General features: G+C 42.0%; 1 protein-coding gene across 3 annotated transcripts; it reads right to left on the minus strand.

The window, feature by feature from the left end:
- Nucleotides 1–5,218: 5,218 nt before the first annotated feature.
- CT45A3 (cancer/testis antigen family 45 member A3) lies at nt 5,219–13,366 on the minus strand. 3 transcript variants are annotated; one of them, NM_001370148.2, is made up of 5 exons: nt 13,283–13,366; nt 9,451–9,625; nt 7,283–7,531; nt 6,809–6,902; nt 5,219–5,584 (listed from the first exon to the last, which is right to left on the minus strand). In NM_001370148.2, the coding sequence occupies exons 2-5, from the start codon at nt 9,617–9,619 to the stop codon at nt 5,527–5,529; spliced, it is 570 nt and encodes a 189-aa protein (NP_001357077.1). In that variant the 5' UTR covers nt 9,620–9,625; nt 13,283–13,366; the 3' UTR covers nt 5,219–5,526. The 3 variants fall into 3 exon arrangements, with proteins under 3 accessions (NP_001357077.1, NP_001017435.1, NP_001357078.1); NM_001017435.2 differs by lacking the exon at nt 13,283–13,366 and adding an exon at nt 13,128–13,168 and having other exon boundaries at nt 5,314–5,584; NM_001370149.1 differs by lacking the exon at nt 13,283–13,366 and adding an exon at nt 13,111–13,168 and having other exon boundaries at nt 5,314–5,584.
- Between the last annotated feature and the right edge of the window lie 5,899 nt (nt 13,367–19,265).

Raw genomic sequence — 19,265 nt, forward strand, 5'->3', positions numbered from 1 at the left:
CAAGTCTTTCCTATTGTGAATAGTGCCGCAATAAACATACATGTGCATGTGTCTTTATAGCAGCATGATTTATAATTCTTTGGGTATATACCCAGTAATCGGCTGGCTGGGTCAAATGGTATTTCCAGTTCTAGATCCTTGAGGAATGGCCACACTGTCTTCCACAATGGTTGATCTAATTTACAGTCCCACCAACAGTGTAAAAGTGTTCCTATTTGTCCACATCCTCTCCAACACCTGTTGTTTCCTGACTTTTTAATGATCACCATTCTAACTGGTGTGAGATGGCATCTCACTGTGGTTTTGATTTGCATTTCTCTGATGACCAGTGATGAGGAGCATTTTTTCTCCCATTCTGTAGGTTGCCTGCTCACTCTGGTGGTAGTTTCTTTTGCTGTGCAGAACCCCTTAGTTTTATTAGACCCCACTTGTCAATTCTGGCTTTTGTTGCCATTGCTTTTGGTGTTTTAGTCATGAAGTCCTTGCCCATGCCTACTATGTCTTGAATGGTATTGCCTAGGTTTTCATCTACGGTTTTTACTGTTTTAGGTCTAACATTTAAGTCTTTAATCCATCTTGAATAAATTTTTGTATAAGGTGTACGGAAGGGATCCAGTTTCAGCTTTCTACATGTGGCTAGCCAGTTTTCCCAGCACCATTTATTAAATAGGGAATCCTTTCCCCATTTCTTGTTTTTGTCAGGTTTGTCAAAGATCAGATAGTTGTAGATATGTGGCATTGTTTCTGAGGGCTCTATTCTGTTCCATTGGTCTATATCTCTGTTTTGGTAACAGTACCATGCATACCAGAATCTCTGGGACACATTCAAAGCAGTGTGTAGAGGGAAATTTATAGCACTAAATGCCCACAAGAGAAAGCACGAAAGAGCTAAAATTGACACCCTAACATCACAATTAAAAGAACTAGAGAAGGAAGAGCAAACACATTCAAAAGCTAGCAGAAGGCAAGAAATAACTAAGATCAGAGCAGAACTGAAGGAAATAGAGACACAAAAAACCCTTCAAAAAAATCAATGAATCCAGGAGCTGGTTTTTTGAAAAGATCAACAAAATTGATAGACCGCTAGCAAGACTAATAAAGAAGAAAAGAGAGAAGAATCAAATAGACGCAATGAAAAATGGTAAAGGGGATATCACCACCGATCCCACAGAAATACAAACTACCATCAAAGAGTACTATAAACACCTCTACGCAAATAAACTAGAAAATCTAGAAGAAATGGATGAATTCCTCGACACATATACCCTCCCAAGACTAAACCAGGAAGAAGTTGAATCTCTGAATAGACCAATAACAGGCTCTGAAATTGAGGTAATAATTAATAGCTTACCAACCAAAAAAAGTCCAGGACCAGATGGATTCTCAGCCGAATTCTACCAGAGGTACAAGGAGGAGCTGGTACCATTCCTTCTGAAACTATTCCAATCAATAGAAAAAGAGGGAATCCTCCCTAAATCATTTTATGAGGCCAGCATCATCCTGATACCAAAGCCTGGCAGAGACACAACCAAAAAAGAGAATTTTAGACCAATATCCTTGATGAACATTGATGCAAAAATCCTCAATAAAATACTGGCAAACCGAATCCAGCAGCACATCAAAAAGCTTATCGACCATGATCAAGTGGGCTTCATCCCCGGGATGCAAGGCTGGTTCAACATTCGCAAACCAATAAATGTAATCCAGCATATAAACAGAACCAAAGACAAAAACCACATGATTATCTCAATAGATGCAGAAAAGACCTTTGACAAAATTCAACAACCTTCATGCTAAAAACTCTCAATAAATTAGGTGTTGATGGGACGTATCTCAAAGTAATAAGAGCTATTTATGACGAACCCACAGCCAATATCATACTGAATGGACAAAAACTGGAAGCATTCCCTTTGAAAACTGGCACAAGACAGGGATGCCCTCTCTCACCACTCCTATTCAACATAGTGTTGGAAGCTGTGGCCAGGGCAGTCAGGCAGGAGAAAGAAATAAAGGGCATTCAATTAGGAAAAGAGGAAGTCAAACTGTCCCTGTTTGCAGATGACATGATTGTATATATAGAAAACCCCATTGTCTCAGCCCAAAATCTCCTTAAGCCGATAAGCAACTTCAGCAAAGTCTCAGGAGACAAAATCAATGTGCAAAAAATCACAAGCATTCTTATACACTAATAACAGACAAACAGAGAGCCAAATCATGAGTGAACTCCCATTCACAATTGCTTCAAAGAGAATAAAATACCTAGGAATCCAACTTACAAGGGATTGTGAAGGACCTCTTCAAGGAGAACTACAAACCACTGCTCAATGAAATAAAAGAGGATACAAACAAATGGAAGAACATTCCATGCTCATGGGTAGGAAGAATCAATATCGTGAAAATGGCCATATTGCCCAGGGTAATTTATAGATTCAATGCCATCCCCATCAAGCTACCAATGACTTTCTTCACAGAATTGGAAAAAACTACTTTAAAGTTCATATGGAACCAAAAAAGAGCCCGCATCGCCAAGTCAATCCTAAGCCAAAAGAACAAAGCTGGAGACATCATGCTACCTGACTTCAAACTATACTACAAGGCTACAGTAACCAAAACAGCATGGTACTGTTACCAAAACAGAGATACAGACCAATGGAACAGAACAGAACAGAGCCCTCAGAAATAATGCCGCATATCTACAACTATCTGATCTTTGACAAACCTGACAAAAACAAGAAATGGGGAAAGGATTCCCTATTTAATAAATGGTGCTGGGAAAACTGGCTAGCCATATGGAGAAAGCTGAAATGGGATCCCTTCCTTATACTTTATACAAAAATTAATTCAAGATGGATTAAAGACTTACATGTTAGACCTAAAACCATAAAAACCCTAGGAGAAAACCTAGGCAATACCATTCAGGACATAGGCATGGGCAAGGACTTCATGTCTAAAACACCAAAAGCAATGGCAACAAAAGCCAAAATTGACAAATGGGATCTAATTAAACTAAAGAGCTTCTGCACGGCAAAAGAAACTACCATCAGAGTGAACAGGCAACCTACAGAATGGGAGAAAATTTGTGCAATCTACTCATCTGAAAAAGGGCTAATATCCAGAATCTACAATGAACTCAAACAAATTTACAAGAAAAAAACACACAACCCCATCAACAAGCGGGCGAAGGATATGAACAGATACTTCTCAAAAGAAGACATTTATGCAGCCAACAGACACATGAAAAAATACTCATCATCACTGGCCATCAGATAAATGCAAATCAAAACCACAATGAGATACCATCTCACACCAATTAAAATGGCAATCATTTAAAAATCAGGAAACAACAGGTGCTGGAGAGGATATGGACAAATAGGAACACTTTTACACTGTTGGTGGGACTGTAAACTAGTTCAACCATTGTGGAAGTCAGTGTGGCAATTCCTCAGGGATCTAGAACTAGAAATACCATTTGACCAAGCCATCCCATTACTGGATATATACCCAAAGGATTATAAATCATGCTGCTATAAAGACACATGCACACGTATATTTATTGCGGCACTATTCACAATAGCAAAGACTTGCAACCAACCCAAATGTCCATCAGTGATATACTGGATTAAGAAAATGTGGCACATATACACCATGGAATACTATGCAGCCATGAAAAATGATGAGTTCATGTCCTTTGTAGGGACATGGATGAAGCTGGAAACCATCATTCTCAGCAAACTATCCCAAGGACAAAAACCAAACACCGCATGTTCTCACTCGTAGGTGGGAATTGAACAATGAGACCACATGGACACAGGAAGGGGAACATCACACACCGGGGCCTGTTGTGGGGTGTGGGGAGGGGGGAGGGATAGCATTAGGAGATATACCTAATGTTAAATGACGAGTTTATGGGTGAAGCACACCAACTTGGCACATGTATACATATGTAACAAACCTGCACGTTGTGCACATGTACCCTAAAACTTAAAGTATAATAATAAAAAAAAGAAAAGTACCTGGAACAATTAATATTTGTTGAATCAATGAATGAATTAATTTTAAAAAAAGCATAGAATGGGCTGGGTGCAGTGGCTCATGCCTGTAATCCTAGCACCTTGGGAGGCTGAGATGGGCAGATCACTTGAGGCCAGGTTTCGAGACCAGCCTGGACAACATGGCAAAACCCCATCTCCACTAAAAATGCAAAAATTAGCAGCGTGATGGCACCTGTGGTGCACCTGTAATCCCAGCTACTTGGGAGGCTGAAGCACAAGGATCGCTTGAACTGGGGTGAGCTGGAGGTTGCAGTGACTTGTGATCGTGACACTGCACTCTAGCCTGGGCAACAGAGCAAGATTCTGTCTTAAAAAAATAAAATAAAAAGCATAGAATGTGCAAGTCATATCTGGAGACAACAGTCTTAAAGGGACTGCTACTGAAGCTCCAAATTATTGTTATCAGGCCAATCCTATCTAGGAACTACCTTTATTATATATATTGGATATACCACCCTACGTGCATATATATATATATATATATATATATATATATATATACCATATATATATGGTATATATACCATATATATATGGTATATATACCATATATGGTATATATACCACATATATATATATATACTATATATGGTATATATATATATGGGGTATATATATATGAATAGGGGTGTATATGTAATATGTGTAATGTGTATAATGTGTATTATATGTATAATGGGAGATTACAAAGTGTGTGTGTGTAGGTATATATACCCCCTACCAACACACACACACACACACAGGTATAATGTGCATTACATGTATAATGGGAGATTTTAAAGTGTGTGTGTATTTTAATGTGTGTGTAAAATACACACACACACATTAAAATCTCCCATTAGTTCTGCCTTTTCGTTGAAGGCTGATGATACAGATTTCAACATTGAGATCGGGTTCCCACTACACCAGGGGCTAAGGAAGAGTATGTGTGATATGTCTAGAGAGCTTCTTAGTCCTCCCGTGTTTTTCGATTAGAGTTAATGGAAGATCACAGCAACCCCATCCAGGCAGGACATCTAATGTTTCAGACTCTTCCGTAATGAAGGTTTGAGTCATCCTGCCAGGCCAAGCATCATGACCAACTGACATGCTATCTCAGGGCAAAGGGAATGTGAAATGGGTAGCGAAAGAACGTAGTGATAAATACCAGCTACAACACTGTGAGCTGCTGCAGAAACCACGACTGTAATAGTATTTACCTAATGGGTTAATAATATCTACCAGCACAGGTGGGAATACAAAATAACCAAAACACAAGTTATCCTTTCAAATAAAATGCTTTGGGAAAAAGAACATCTTTTACTAACAGAAATTTCTTAGCCTCTGGAAGGCTATTTGATTCGGTAACATATGCCAGGAGACTTCAGCAATATCCTGCTCCATTGTAGAAAACAGCAATCTGATCCTTTTCTCTCCTCAATCATTAACGAGATTATGCATTTGGGGTGTGATAATCCTCCAGGGACAAGTATTCTCAAATCATACGTTTCAGTTTCTTCTTAAGGTGCTTAACAAAGTCTCGTCTCATACATCTGAAAAGAAAGAGACATGTCATTAACCAAAAGATAGCTAAAGAACCTATGCTGTAGGAAGCACTGTGATGGATAGAAAGATGAAGTAACAGTCAGCATGGAAATAGAAATGTATCTGCATGGTAAGAGGCAGTCTAGCCGGCATAACAAATGCTGGCAAGGGTGTGGAGAAAAGGGAACCTTCATACACTGTTGGTGAGAATATAAATTACTACAACAACTAACTATGAAGAACAGTTTGGAGGTTCCTCAAACAACTAAAAATGGAGCTATCATATGATCCAGCAATCCCACTGCTGGGTATATACCCAAGAGAAAGGAAGTCAGTGTACCGAACAGATATCTGCACTCCCATGTTTGTTGCAGCACCATCCACAGTAGCCAAGATTTGGAAGCAACCTAAGTGTCCACTAACACATGAATGGGTAAAGAAAATATGGTACATATACACCACAGAGTACTGTTTAGCCATAAAAAAAAGAATGAGATTCAGTCATTTGCAACAACACGGATAGAACCGAAGGTCCTTATGTTAAGTGAAATAAGCCAGGCACAGAAAGACAAACTTCACATGTTCTCACTTATTTTTGGGAGTAAAAGTGTAAAACAACTGAACTAATGGAGATAGAGAGTAGAATGACAGTTACCAGAGGCTACAAAGGTTAGTGGGGGTGGAGGGTGTGGGAAGTGGGGATGATTAATACGTAGAAGTATGGAATAAATAAGATGTCGTATTTCATAGCCAAACAGGGTGACTATAGTCGGTAATAATTTAATTGCACATTTAAAAATAATGAAGAGTATAATTGTATTCTCTGTAACGCAAAGGATAAAAGCTTGAGGTGATAGAAACCCCACTTACCTTGATGTGATTATTACACATTGTTGTCTGTATCACAATATCTCATATAGCCCAGAAATATATGCATCTGCTATGTGCCTACACAAATTTTTTAAAAAGAGGTAGTCTAGCAAATACAAAGAGTGTCAATTGAGGGACAATGCGCACCTCAGACTATGGTGAAAATGGAAGTCTCCATAGTCTTCGAAGAATGAGTTACACTCAGATAACATTAGCCTAAGTAACTGTGGAGACAGCCATAACTGTGAGTGAGGACCAGGGTTTGAGAAACGCAAGGCAGGGGCTGTTCCCCAACGCTCACCCCCAGTGCTCTATTGAGCCCAAGTGCTTAAAGAAATTGGACAGTTCCTATTTCTACCCACCTTGCTGCTTCCTTGATGATGGATTCAAAAAATCGCTTCCTGACTGCAGTAGGTCCTTGCACTCCTTCAAGCATTTCGAAGATTTTTTCATATTCTGAAGATGTTGAAAAAAAAAAACTTCAGTATTATCAAATATAAAGAAGAATAGAAGTGAATCTACACCTCAGCAATCATGCTTCAGAGGCTGAAATGTTTTAAATGCTTAAATCAAGATACCTGCACATACAAAACCTAAATAATAAAAAAGACACCTGCACATACATACGAATGTAACTCCTTTAACCATAACCAAGTAAGAAAAGAAAAAGAAAAAATGTACATGCTTTAGTCAAAGAAAAGAGGAACCACCATAAATTATGTGCAATCTCAACTCTGGCAAAGAATGAAACTCAACAGGCAACATGAATATCTTCTGAATCATAGAAAGAGAGACTTCCTATAGTTTTATAAAACAGACATTCTTATATTACTTACTTTGTCCAACGCATCGGAGTTCCTTCACTAATTTACGTTTTATATCAGCATTAATTTCTCGTTGGCTTTTGGGAGAGGAGGCTGTTTCTCTGCATTCTAGGTCATCTCCAGAGAAACTGCTGGTAACGTTTCCTCCCACAGGTGCATTGCTACCAGGTTTCTGCATCATCCTATCTTTGCTGAAACCAGTGAAGTCATCAATCTGAGAATCCAATTGGCTGGGTGGAATAGCATGTCCTGTCATAAGCTCTGGTGAAACAGATTTTGAGTAAAAGCCATCAGTTGGTGTTTGACCACTTTCTTTCCCCTCCACATAGACCTCATGAATGACAGCTCTGGAAATCAAACTGAGAAGCTGAGCTGTGAGATATGTGTGTTTCATCACCCCTCTGGGTACATCTATGTGCTCCTCAGTTTCTAGGGAATTATTTATTTCATAAATGGGAGGATACACCAGGGAGAAATCCCAGGCCTGACAAACGGAGGCCAGGACACATAATACAATAAAACCACCTCTTATTTTCTGGCCCTATGAATAGACATGGAAACCAAGTAAGGCAGTACAACTCTAAAGCAACATTCACAGATCCCTGGTACTCATGGGACAGTTTCAGCTTGTTATGCTTTACAAGTTGAAAGCAGCAAGTCTCACTTGATATCATGATTTCTCAAACTCACTTACAAACTGCCATGCTTTACTGAGCTGGAACCCAGGCAACTGGGATACAACTCAACCGGTCTCCTGTTATATCAAACACATTCTGAGAAAATAGAGGCGGCCATTACTGCTAAAAGTTCTATACGCACTCCACCACCAAAAAGTCCCTTTTACTGTATGATTTTCCTCATCCTTCCTTTCTGTCTCACAAAAGTGACTTTCTTTTCACTCCAGGTCTGACACCTCTCATTTATTCATCGTCTGTGGCAGGCAGCGTGCCGGTAGCTGGGGATCAGCAGTAAACAGCCCAGAGAGCAACGTTCCCTGCCCTTGTGGAGCTCACATCCTCATGGGGCGGTCAGACAGTACGTGCACAATGAGCAAATGAAACATACAGTGTTGGGCTAGTGGTAAGGAAGCAGTCCACAGGCCTGTGGGCAACAGCAGCAGAGGGAGCCCCAGGAGCTGCTGCTGGTTGGGCAGAGCCTTCTGTGGAGGTACCCTTGGGCAGGGCTTGAAGGAAAAAGCAGAGCTGCCTGCGCAGAGGCAGAGGGGGAGTTCCAGGTTGCGGTGAGGCCAAGGATATGGGCTGGAGTGGGGATGGACCGGGCACTACGGGGTGAAGGACAGTAGCAGAGAGAGTCAGGAGATGATGGGGCCCGTGTGAGGAGAGGGTGACGGAGGCCAGGCCACGCAGAACCTCGCAGACCAAAGCTGCTTCGCAGTCGGTTCTGAGTGCTTAGGAGTGTTGAGGATGGGTGTTCAGGAGCGACATGGCATCACGTGATTTACATGCCAACATCATGACCCGGCTGCAGGGTTGGAGGGTATGTGTTTGATGCGGGAAATAATGGGAAACATGGAGGTATCTCAGGAGCTCAGTGATTGATCGTGGCAGAGTGGAATAGAAGGAGAGAGAGAGATGCTGGGGTTCAGGAATTTTTTACAGTATTTAGAGAAGAGAAGAAAAAGAAATGTAGAAAAAAACAATGATGGGGTCGGGGGCGGTGGCTCGTGCGTGTAATCCCAGCACTTTGGGAGGCTGAGGTGGGTGGATCACCTGAGGGGGGGAGTTCCAGACCAGCCTGGCCGACATGGCGAAACCCCATCTCTACTAAACTTACAAAAATTAGCTGGGTGTGGTGGCTGGTGCTTGTAATCCCGCTACTCGGGAGGCTGCGGCAGAAGAATCACTTGAACCCAGGAGACGGAGATTTCAGTGAGCCGAGATCGCGCCACTGCACTCCAGCCTGGCTGAGAAGAGCGAAACTCCATCTCAAGAAAAAAATGATAGGGATTCACCAATACGGACAAGAAATTAAAAAAAAAAAAAAGATTGTCGGAAATGGAAATCCTAGAAGGTTTTCATGAAGAAGCGAGTGAACAACTGTCAAATGCTGCTGAGAAGTTAATGGCAATGTCAGCCGAAACTGTTAACCTTGACAAGGACAGTTTCTCTGGAGGGGATGAGGCAGGAGCATGAGGAGGACGTGAGGACAGGCTTACTTACTCTTTTCTTTGGACATGGCAGAGCCTGCAATAAGGCTGTCTCCTGCTCCTTGTTTCCTTGCCAACAGGGCCATCCTCTGCCTTTTCTGATACGAAGGACTGTCACATTCCCTGGGACGTTTAAACACAGTTTCAGGATCTACAGCCACCTTCTCTGTTTTATCGGTCATTGTTTCCTGAAAAACATCAATGAATATATTCTATTCATGACAAAAATCTAACAATCACAAAATGGCAAGCAATCTGCATATGTGTATACAACCAAGACTTTGAATCATTAATTTCACTTTTAATCATGAGCCAAGATTTACCAAGTCTCAACAAACACTCTGTTCTCAGGAAAAGAAACCTAATTTTAATGTACACAAAGTAAAACAGAAGAAAGATGGTATAACCAAATCAATCAGAATGCTTGTGGAATAAGCAGCTGTCATCAACCAAAAATAGATAAAAATATTATTACCTATTTGAAGATGTATAAGCCAATCTGTATTAACCCTTATTAGAAAAAATGGATGTATAAACCAATCTGTATTAACCCTTATTATACATTATATTTTAAATTATATATTATATATCATATATATTTAATATATAAGTATTTATGCTTATATATTCAAATAGATGCATAAACCAACGTGTATTAACCCTTATTAGGAACCCTTATTAGAAGATTGATACAAAACTGATAACAACATCTGACAAGGAATTTAGAAGAATGAAAAACTACAAGATCAAGCCAAAAATACAAGCCAAGATCACCCCGAACTTAGACACAAAAATTCCAAACTAAGGGTGAGCAAATAAAATGTACTAGTACTTAAAAAGGACATACATCAGCCATGGTGGAGTATATTGCAGAAAGGCAACACTGATTTAACATTTGAAAATCGACAAATGTAGTGCACCACATTAACAACAACAACAACAACAACAACAAAAACAGGGAAACACCGCATGATCATTTTCATACATGGATCAATGTTTAAAGTCCATTCGTGATAAAAACTATCACCAACTTAGGAAAAAGGGCAACTTTCCTATTCTGGTTAGCATATGTACAAAAAATTTTTAAATGCCATACTTCATAGTGACGTATCAGTATTTTCTCCCTGAGTTTGAAAACAAGACAAAGATGTCCACTATCCATTCAACAATTTACTGGAGGTTCTAAAAAGTGCCATATCATCAGGAAAATACAATAGGTTTAAAATTTGGAAAGAAATAAAACTGTCATTATTCACAGATGACATTGTTCTGTACATAGAAAAATGCAGAAGAATAAAATCATTACAGTTAATAAGCAAATTTAGTCAACTTACTAGATACAATGAAAACCAATGGCATTTCTGTATAATGAATAGCAATTCTGTATAATGAATGGCATTATACAGAATGGCAATTCTGTATAACGAATAATTAGAATATGAGATTTCAAATGTCATTAAAAACAGTTCCAAAAACATCAAATATTTAGGAATAAATCTAATCAAGATGTGCTAGAGTACTTCACAAAAATTATAAAACATCACTCAGAGAAATTCAAGACTGCAGTAAATGGAGAAAAATTTTCTTTCCATGCATTGGAAGACATTTTTTTTTTTTTGAGTCGGAGCCTCGCTCTGTCACCCAGGCTGCAGTGGAGTGGCACAGTCTCTGCTCACTGCAACCTCCACTTCCCAGGTTCAAGCAATTCTCCTGCCTCAGCCTCCTGAGTAGCTGCGATTACGGGCGCCTGCCACGACGCTGGATAAAGAAAATGTGGTACATATACACCACGGAATACTATGCAGCCATAAAAAAGAATGAGTTCATGTCCTTTGAAGGGACATGTGTCAGCAAGCTAACACAGGAACAGAAAACCAAACACCACGTGTCCTCACTCATAAGTGGGAGTTGAACAATGAGAACACATGGACGCGGGGAGAAGAACATCACACAGTGGGGCCTGTCAGGGGTTGGGGGGCTAGGGGAGGGATAGCATTAGAGAAATACCTAAGGTAGATGACGGGTCAATGGGTGCAGCAAACAACCATGGCATGTGTCTTCCTATGTAACAAACCTGCACGTTCTGCCCATGTATCCCGGAACTTAAAGTATAATTTTAAGAAAAGGAATATTATCGTAATGGCATTGGGTGAGTCAAAGATGTTTCTTAAAATAATAAAAAGCACTATCCATAAATAATACACTAATTAATAAAATTAAGAGAATCTGTTCATCTACAACACATTATTGAGATCGTGTAAAAGCAAAAAAGATTTATAGAAGATACTAAAATTGTATATGTATTTTTGTATATGTACATATACGCCTGTGTGCCTGTGCGTATAACTCAAATACAGAATATATGGAAACTACAAATCCATTTTTAAAATACAAACATCTCAGTAAAAGCTGGGGGAAAATACCTGAAAAGGAACTTCATAAAAGGCATAGTTAAATGACCAATAAACACATAAAATGGTGCTAAAAAAAAAAAAAAAGAAAACAATAAATAGCTGGGTGTGGTGGCACTGCAATCCAGTCTGGGTGACAGAGGGAGACCTCATCTCAAAAGACAAACAAAAATCAATAAATAAAAACAATTTCTTAAAAAGGTGCTCGATCTCATTAATCAGCAGAGAAATGCGAGTGTAGACATAAGGAGAGATCACTGCACACCCATCAGAGTGGCTGGAATGAAAGACTAACTGTACTGCGAGTGTTCGAATGTGGCACAGCTGGAACCTTCGAATATTTCTGGACTCCCATTCCCACACAGACACCTGAGGCTGTGGCTGAAAGGTCAGATAGAATCCCAGGAAAGAGCTCCTTCAGAATTGCGATCAACCAACCGAGGAAAAGCACCCCAACCTGGGTCGAGACAGAGTTCCCAAGGTCACGTGGCCTCCTTCATGGCTGACACAGAGCTCCCTGAGTCCCACCATAGGCTTAGAGAATCCAAGGAACATTACCCCATTCCCCGGCGGCACCGGGAGAGAGCACCTACAGATAATAATTTTAAAAACCCAGCACCAAGAGAAAGCATCCATCCAGTAAGCGTCCACAACGGGGATAAGCAGAACCAAAGAAAAGCCAACACATTGTAACTGAGAGCGAGCAACATCCGAGGACAAATGCGCCTCACGGCCGACATCAGTACCCAAGGAAGAGTCCACCAGAGGTTGAGATAAAGCCCCCGACAGTGACCCCACAGGGCTACGATCATGTGTCCGGGGCACAGCCACCCCCACCACGTTCCATGAGCACAGATAGTGACCCCAGGGCAGAGTCCCCCCTCAGGACAGCGACTGAGCGGGAAAGAAACACCGCCGCACCCGAGACCGACACAGGCAACCAAGGCATGGCCCCCACCCCCCGGGCTCAGGTCATTTCAGCAGGAAAAGTCGCCTTTTCCATCACCGACAGGGAGCCCCCAACAAGAGCCCCCAAGAAAAGCCCCCTGGCCCCACAACATAGCCGAGACGGGGTGCCCAAGGAAAACGCTCCCCCGCGGCTGACACAGGCGCCCATGGCGGTGTCCCCAGAGCTAAGCCACTTCCCCAAGGGAGCCCTCCCACACACCGGACAGAGAACACCACAGAAAAGACTCTTTCTGAGGAAAAAGGACACTTTCCAGGGCGAAATTAAAGCATCCAGGGAAAAACTGCCCACTCACAGTCCTGAAGTCCTGACCTTGCTGGAGGAGAGACGGCGGCACCTCACAAAATGGCAGTGAAGTTGTGGCGCCTCCCCACTGGTGGCACTTTCTAGAAACCTGCCCTCTGGGAGTTGTGGGAAATGTGCCCCCTAGGGCACCTGGGAGTGATGTGCATGGGGAGGCGTCTCACCAGAAGCACCGATCCCGTTTGGCCCAAGGGGGATGGGAGGAAGGGAAGTAGCCAGCCACAGCGTGCCTGCCCCAGCCGAACACTGGGAACCTGTTGGGGGCGCCAGAGTGCTGAGGAGAAGCCTCGTGCCCCAGAGAACCAGGAAGCGCAGCCCTCCCCTTCGCTGACTCTGGCGCCCTCTACAGGCGACCTTCAGTAACAACTGCACAGCAACGTATGCGGAGGAATGCAGAACCTTCTCACCCAGCGGGATGAAATCGCCTGGGTAACATAGTGAGACCCCGGCTCTACAAAGCAACCAACTAATCAAAAAAGAAAGAAAGAAAGAAAGAAAGAAAGAAAGAAACACACAAATTAGCTGGGCCTAGTGGCCTCGCACCTGTGGTCCCAACTACTCGGGAAGTTGAGGTGGGAGGATGGCTTGAACCCGGGAGGTGGAGGTAGCAGTGAGCCACTGCACTCCAGCCCAGGCGGTAGAGGAGACCCCACCTCAGAAAAAAAAAAAAAAAAAAGAAAGAAAGAAGGAAAAGAAAAGAAAAAGAAAAAGAACAACAACAAACTGCAATTTTCATTTGAGGGGGTTGTGTTTTAAAGTCAACCCCGACCCGCCACAGTGGCTCACGCCTGTAATCTCAACACTTTGGGAGGCCGAAGGGGCTGGACCACCTGAGGTCAGGAGTTCGAGACCAGTCTGTCTGACCAACATGGTGAATCCCGTCTCTACTAAAAATACAGAAAATTACCGGGCGTGGTGGCATGCACCTATAATCCCACCAGCTACTTGGGAGGCTGAGGCTGGAGAATCGCTTGAACCGGGCAGGCAGAATTTGCAGTGAGCTGAGATCATGCCACTGCACTCCAGCCTGGGTAACAGAGTGAGACTCTGTCTAAAAATAAAAATCAATCAATCAATAAATAAAGTCAACCTCTATCTGTTAAAGGTAACCATTATTGTTAATTGATAAGAAAAATGAGGGCCCCAGTGCGGTCGCTCACGTCTGTAATCCCAGCAATTTGGGAGACCAAGAGGGGTGGATTCCTTGAGCCCAGGAGTTCAAGAGCAGCCTGGGCAGCATGGTGAAACCCCATCTTAACACAAAATACAAAAATTAGCTGAGCGTGTAACTGTGGTCCCAGCTGCTCGGGAGGCTTGACACCAGGAGGTTGAGGCTGCATTGACCTTTGTTCGCACCATTGCACTATAGCCTGGGTGACAGAGTAAGACTGTCTACAAAAAAAAGAAAGAGAGAAAGAAAGAGAGAAAGAAAGAGAGAAAGAAAGAAAGAGAAAGAAAAAAGAAGGAAGGAAGGAAAGAAAGAACGAAAGAAAGAAAGGAAGGAAGAAAGGAAGGATGGAAGAAAGAAGGGAAGAAAGGAAGAAAGGAAGGATGGAAGAAAGAAGGGAAGAAAGGAAGAAAGAAAGAGAGAAAGAAAGAAAGGATGGAAGGAGGGGAAACCTTATTATATTGCATCTATTAATCATTTTAATCTGGAACTTTGTATATTTTTCCACCTTTTTTATTTTTTTTGAGACAGTCTGGCTCTGTCACCCAGGCTGGAGTGCAGTGGCATGATCTTGGCTCACTGCAACCTCCGCCTCCCAGGTTCAAGCAGTTCTCCTTCCTCAGCCTCCCGAGAAGCTGGGATTACAGGCATGTACCACCATGCCCGGCTGGTATTTGTATTTTTAGCAGAGACGGTGTTTCACAATGTTCTCCAGGCTGGTCTCAAACTCCTGACTTTAAGTGATTCATCTGCCTTGGCCTCCCAAAGTCCTGGGATTACAGGGGAGAGCCACCATGCCCGGCCCATTTTTCTACTTTCACAACTTATTTTAAGTGCAGCAAAATTTACTTGAATTGTCCATAGTGGTAAAAAATATTACAGCGAAATTTTTCGAGTTTTAATGGAACAGGCAGTTTCACTATTGACACAATTATTTGGAAGGGATTACTTCACTGGTTTTGTAATTCAAAAGTTATGTTTGTAAAAAACTTAAAATTAAAATTAAAAAATATAGCCAGGCATGGTGGTGGGCACCTGTACTCCCTGCTACTAGGGCAGCAGAGGCAGGAGAATCACTTGAACCTGAGAGGTGCAAGCTTCAGTGAGCAGAGATCGCGTCACTGCACTCCAAAGGGGCAGAGATCCATTGTCACTGGGGGACAAAGGGAGAGTCCGTCTCAAAATAAATTAATTAATTAAAATTAAAATTAAAAATTATGTTTGTTAAGTACCCTGTTAGAAGAGAGTCATATTCAGTATTACAGCTTCTTAGCCTATTGTGTTAATATTTGCCTGTGCTTCAGAACCTTCATAGAACACATTTTCTTTTGGAATATATTTGATTGATAGGAAAGCTTAAACATTGTTTTCACTTTGATGTAGGAACAGTTGTTTTGTTTGTTTCCTCTAGTGCTATCAAAATAAAATACTCATTTTTTGCATTAAAAAAATCCCACCAGAGCAGTACTCATAGGAGTATTTGATTGAATAACCATGAGACTGGAATCTTGTTGGGGCTTAATTAGAATCCTGCCTACCACACAAGCCACAGGTGGACAGCTGCATACGACAGTCCTGACTGGGACAGCCCTGAAGGACAGTGATGAAGGGAAATCCTCCCAGAGGGAAGAACTTTGAGCAGTGCACCTTCTTGGAGGAGGCATATCCAGACGTGTAAGTATGTATCATGCATAGGCTGTGTCCCACTCATTCGCTGAATTGTCAGGGACTTTGAGAACACACGATTAAAAATGTGCGACAAAGAAGTCTGAGAAAAAAAAAAATATGTGGACAGGCCTGTCCAAACGGACATACAATGTGAAGATATTGGGGTCTCATGAGAGTTCTCAGCAAAGGGTATCCTCAGCAGAGCAGAATTTTAATAATCAGATGGATAAGGTACTTATTATCTAGGTATTAATCAGCCTCTTTCCCTAACACGTGTGTCACAATCTTACCGGCTCAACAAACAAAGTGGTCAAACTGGCAGGGTTGGAGATTATGCGCAGTAGCATGGACCTCCACTCACCATGGCAAACCTGGCTACGGTCATTGCTGAGTGAAAAATCTTCCAGGAATGGAGACCAACACTAAGCCCCCAATTTGGCACCAGACTCCAGAATGATCTGCCAGCCACTAGTTGGTATGTGGATTACAATAGATCACTTCTATTATAAAAAGAGAAGTGCTTTCTTCTTACCTGAACAGACATTTAGTCTAGATATGGATTTTCCTTCCCACTTGCAGTGCTTTTGAGAAAACCAATGTTTGTATCTCGGCTTCCAAAATTCTGGAAAGCGCTAGTTCCTCAAGTTCCTAGGGTTATTCATTCTGGAGACTCTAGTATACTCTGCAAGAAAACCTGTAGGCCATCCACCAAAATGCCCAAATGGAGTCACTCTTAAATAACGAGCCCTGCATGTTTCCAGAAACTCTAATTATCAGTGAAAAGTTTACTATGGCAGCGATTTCGCCACCCAGGGCAATTGGAGAATGGCAGATACTAGGGACCATTAACTCTGTGAAAGCTGTAGAAGACTGCAGTCAAGACAGTTACAGAACCAAAAGTGACAGTCTTCTATTTCCGATGTTTGTACAAAGAGGACATACAATTAATAAAGTGGTCGAGGAACAGGTTTCTGCTTTAATACCAAAAACTAACATAGAAACCTGTAAAGGTGTCCAAGTATAGTAATCCTTTTCCTGTGTATTTGGTTAAGATTTAAAACTGAAGCTTTCTTTGTTAGCTTTTTTAAAATTATAGATGCCAGAAGGGTACATGTACAGATTTCTCACTTGGATATAATTGCACAGTGCCGGGGTTTGGGCTTCTAGTGAACTCATCACCCAAATAGTGAAGAGAGTATCCAATAGGTAGTTTTTCAACCCTCCGACCCGCTCCCTCCCTCCCCTCTACCTCCATTTTGGAGTCCCCAGAGTCAATGGTTTCTACCTTTATTTTCATGTGTACCCATTGTTTAGCTCCCACATATGAATGAGAACACGCAGTATCTCATTTTCTGATTATCAGATTTTGCTTCTGCGTTTCACTTAAAAGTGAAGTTTTCACCGGACACAGTGGCTCACGCCTGTAATCCCAGGATTTGGGAGGCAGAAGCGGGTGGATCACTTGAGGTCAGGAGTTCCAGACGAGGCTGGCCAAAGTGGCGAAACCACATCTCTACCAAAAATACAAAAAATAGCTGGGGCCCTGCGCAGTGGCTCGCACTTGCACTTTGGGAGTCTGAGGTGGGCATATCACTTGAGGTCAGGAGTTTGAGACTAGCCTGGCCAACATGGTGAAACTCTGTCTCTACTAAGAAATACAAACAATTAGCCAGGTGTGATAATGCGTTTCTATAGTCCCAGCTACACAAGGAGGCTGAGGCAAGAGAACTGCTTGAACCCGGGAGGTGGAGGTTGCAGTGAGCCGAGATTGCACCATAAACTTAATCAAATTGTTGTTCCAACTGCAGCTGCTGTACTACAAGTGGTTTTGTTGTGTCAGCAACTGTGACATCCCTCGGAACCTGATATACAATACTGATTAGGTGAATGTTTGGCTTTCTTTCAGTAATTGTCGTAAACAAGAATTTCAATTCAGCTAGAAAGGACAGCAATGTACTATCATTTCCTATTTCAAGCTTATATCAACTCTCTAGGTTTATATCCTAAACGAGTTCTTAGGGAAAATGGCCACCTTTCTCTTAAACCAGATGTGACACCATTCTTTGCAGTGATGACATCATGCTGACTGAAAAGGAGGTAGCAACTAATCCAGACATGGTAGCAACACACTTGCAAGACATTATGTGAGAAATAATTCTCACACAAAATCAGGGGCCTTCTAACTGAGTGAAGCGTTTAACAATCTGGTAGTCTGGCATGTCAAGATGGTGGTTATAAGGTGAACAGCAAGTTCTTACATCTTGCCTTTCTTACTACTAAATAAGGAACATGAAACGAGTTGCATAATAGATGCTTGTTTTAGCATATACCTAAATGTTGTGCAGTACCGTGGACCCATTGACAAGTGACTGAAACCCCGCTAGCATGGACCGGGGCCCAGAAAAAGAGAAGCTTCCCTAATCCTGCACCTGTGATCTCATGTGGAGTTCCCTGAGACCAGTTGACTAGAAAATAAAAAACTTCATGCCTGATTTTCATTTGTTACTTCAGAATATGCAGGCACCACATCTATTAGGTTTGTTACTAATGCAAAAGAAATTGTCCCCGATTCAGCAGCTTAAAATAACACAAATATATAAGCAGTTCTGTAGATCAGAAATCCATGCAGCCTGGATTGGTTTCTCTGCTTAGGATCTCACAAAATCAAAGTTAGGGTATCAACCAGGCTGCTGACTAACTAAGGACTCAGAGAGAACCTGTTTTCAAGCACATTTGGGTTACGGGCAGGTCTAACTTCTTAAAGTTGTGGAACTGAGGTAGCCGTATACTTGCGGTCTTGGCTGAGGCCACTCTAAGCTACCTGAGACCCCTCCATACCTACTTGGGTGCACCCCTCTATCTTCTAAGCAGTAATGGTGCATCATGATTATGGTGGCTGAGATAAAGCTTATTTACGGGTTTGGCAACATGAACTTTCATTTACCAGGTCCATCTCACTACAGCCACTGCTCACTATTCAATCTGACAGCAGCAGAGACCAACACTGAGTCCCCAATATGGCACCATGTCCCAGAGTGGTCAGTCAGCTTCCAGGTAGCACTGTGATTACTTGGGTCTGCTTCCACGATTGAAGGGGTATCACTTTGATCTTCCTCAAATAGACACTTATTCTGCATATGGATTTTCATTCCCACCCATGGAACTTCAAGGAAATCGGTACTGTGGTATGAGGAAAGGCTGTATCCACCGTCGTGGTATTCCACACTGCACCAGTTTTAAACATCAAACTCACTTTACAGGCAATGAAGTATGGGAATGGGCTCATGCTAATGTACTTCACTAGTCTTGTG

The sequence above is a fragment of the Homo sapiens genome, chromosome X (genome assembly GCF_000001405.40).
Source record: "Homo sapiens chromosome X, GRCh38.p14 Primary Assembly".
Lineage (NCBI taxonomy): Eukaryota > Metazoa > Chordata > Mammalia > Primates > Hominidae > Homo > Homo sapiens.

What these genes read in the sequence shown, in the direction of transcription:
- CT45A3 (NM_001370148.2), bottom strand. Translation starts at nt 9,619, where the DNA reads ATGACCGATAAAACAGAGAAGGTGGCTGTAGATCCTGAAACTGTGTTT. An exon ending in ACTCCGATGCGTTGGACAAA is followed by an intron (nt 6,903 to 7,282) that starts GTAAGTAATATA and finishes CAACATCTTCAG; the next exon opens with AATATGAAAAAATCTTCGAA. An exon ending in ATCATCAAGGAAGCAGCAAG is followed by an intron (nt 5,585 to 6,808) that starts GTGGGTAGAAAT and finishes CTTTCTTTTCAG; the next exon opens with ATGTATGAGACGAGACTTTG.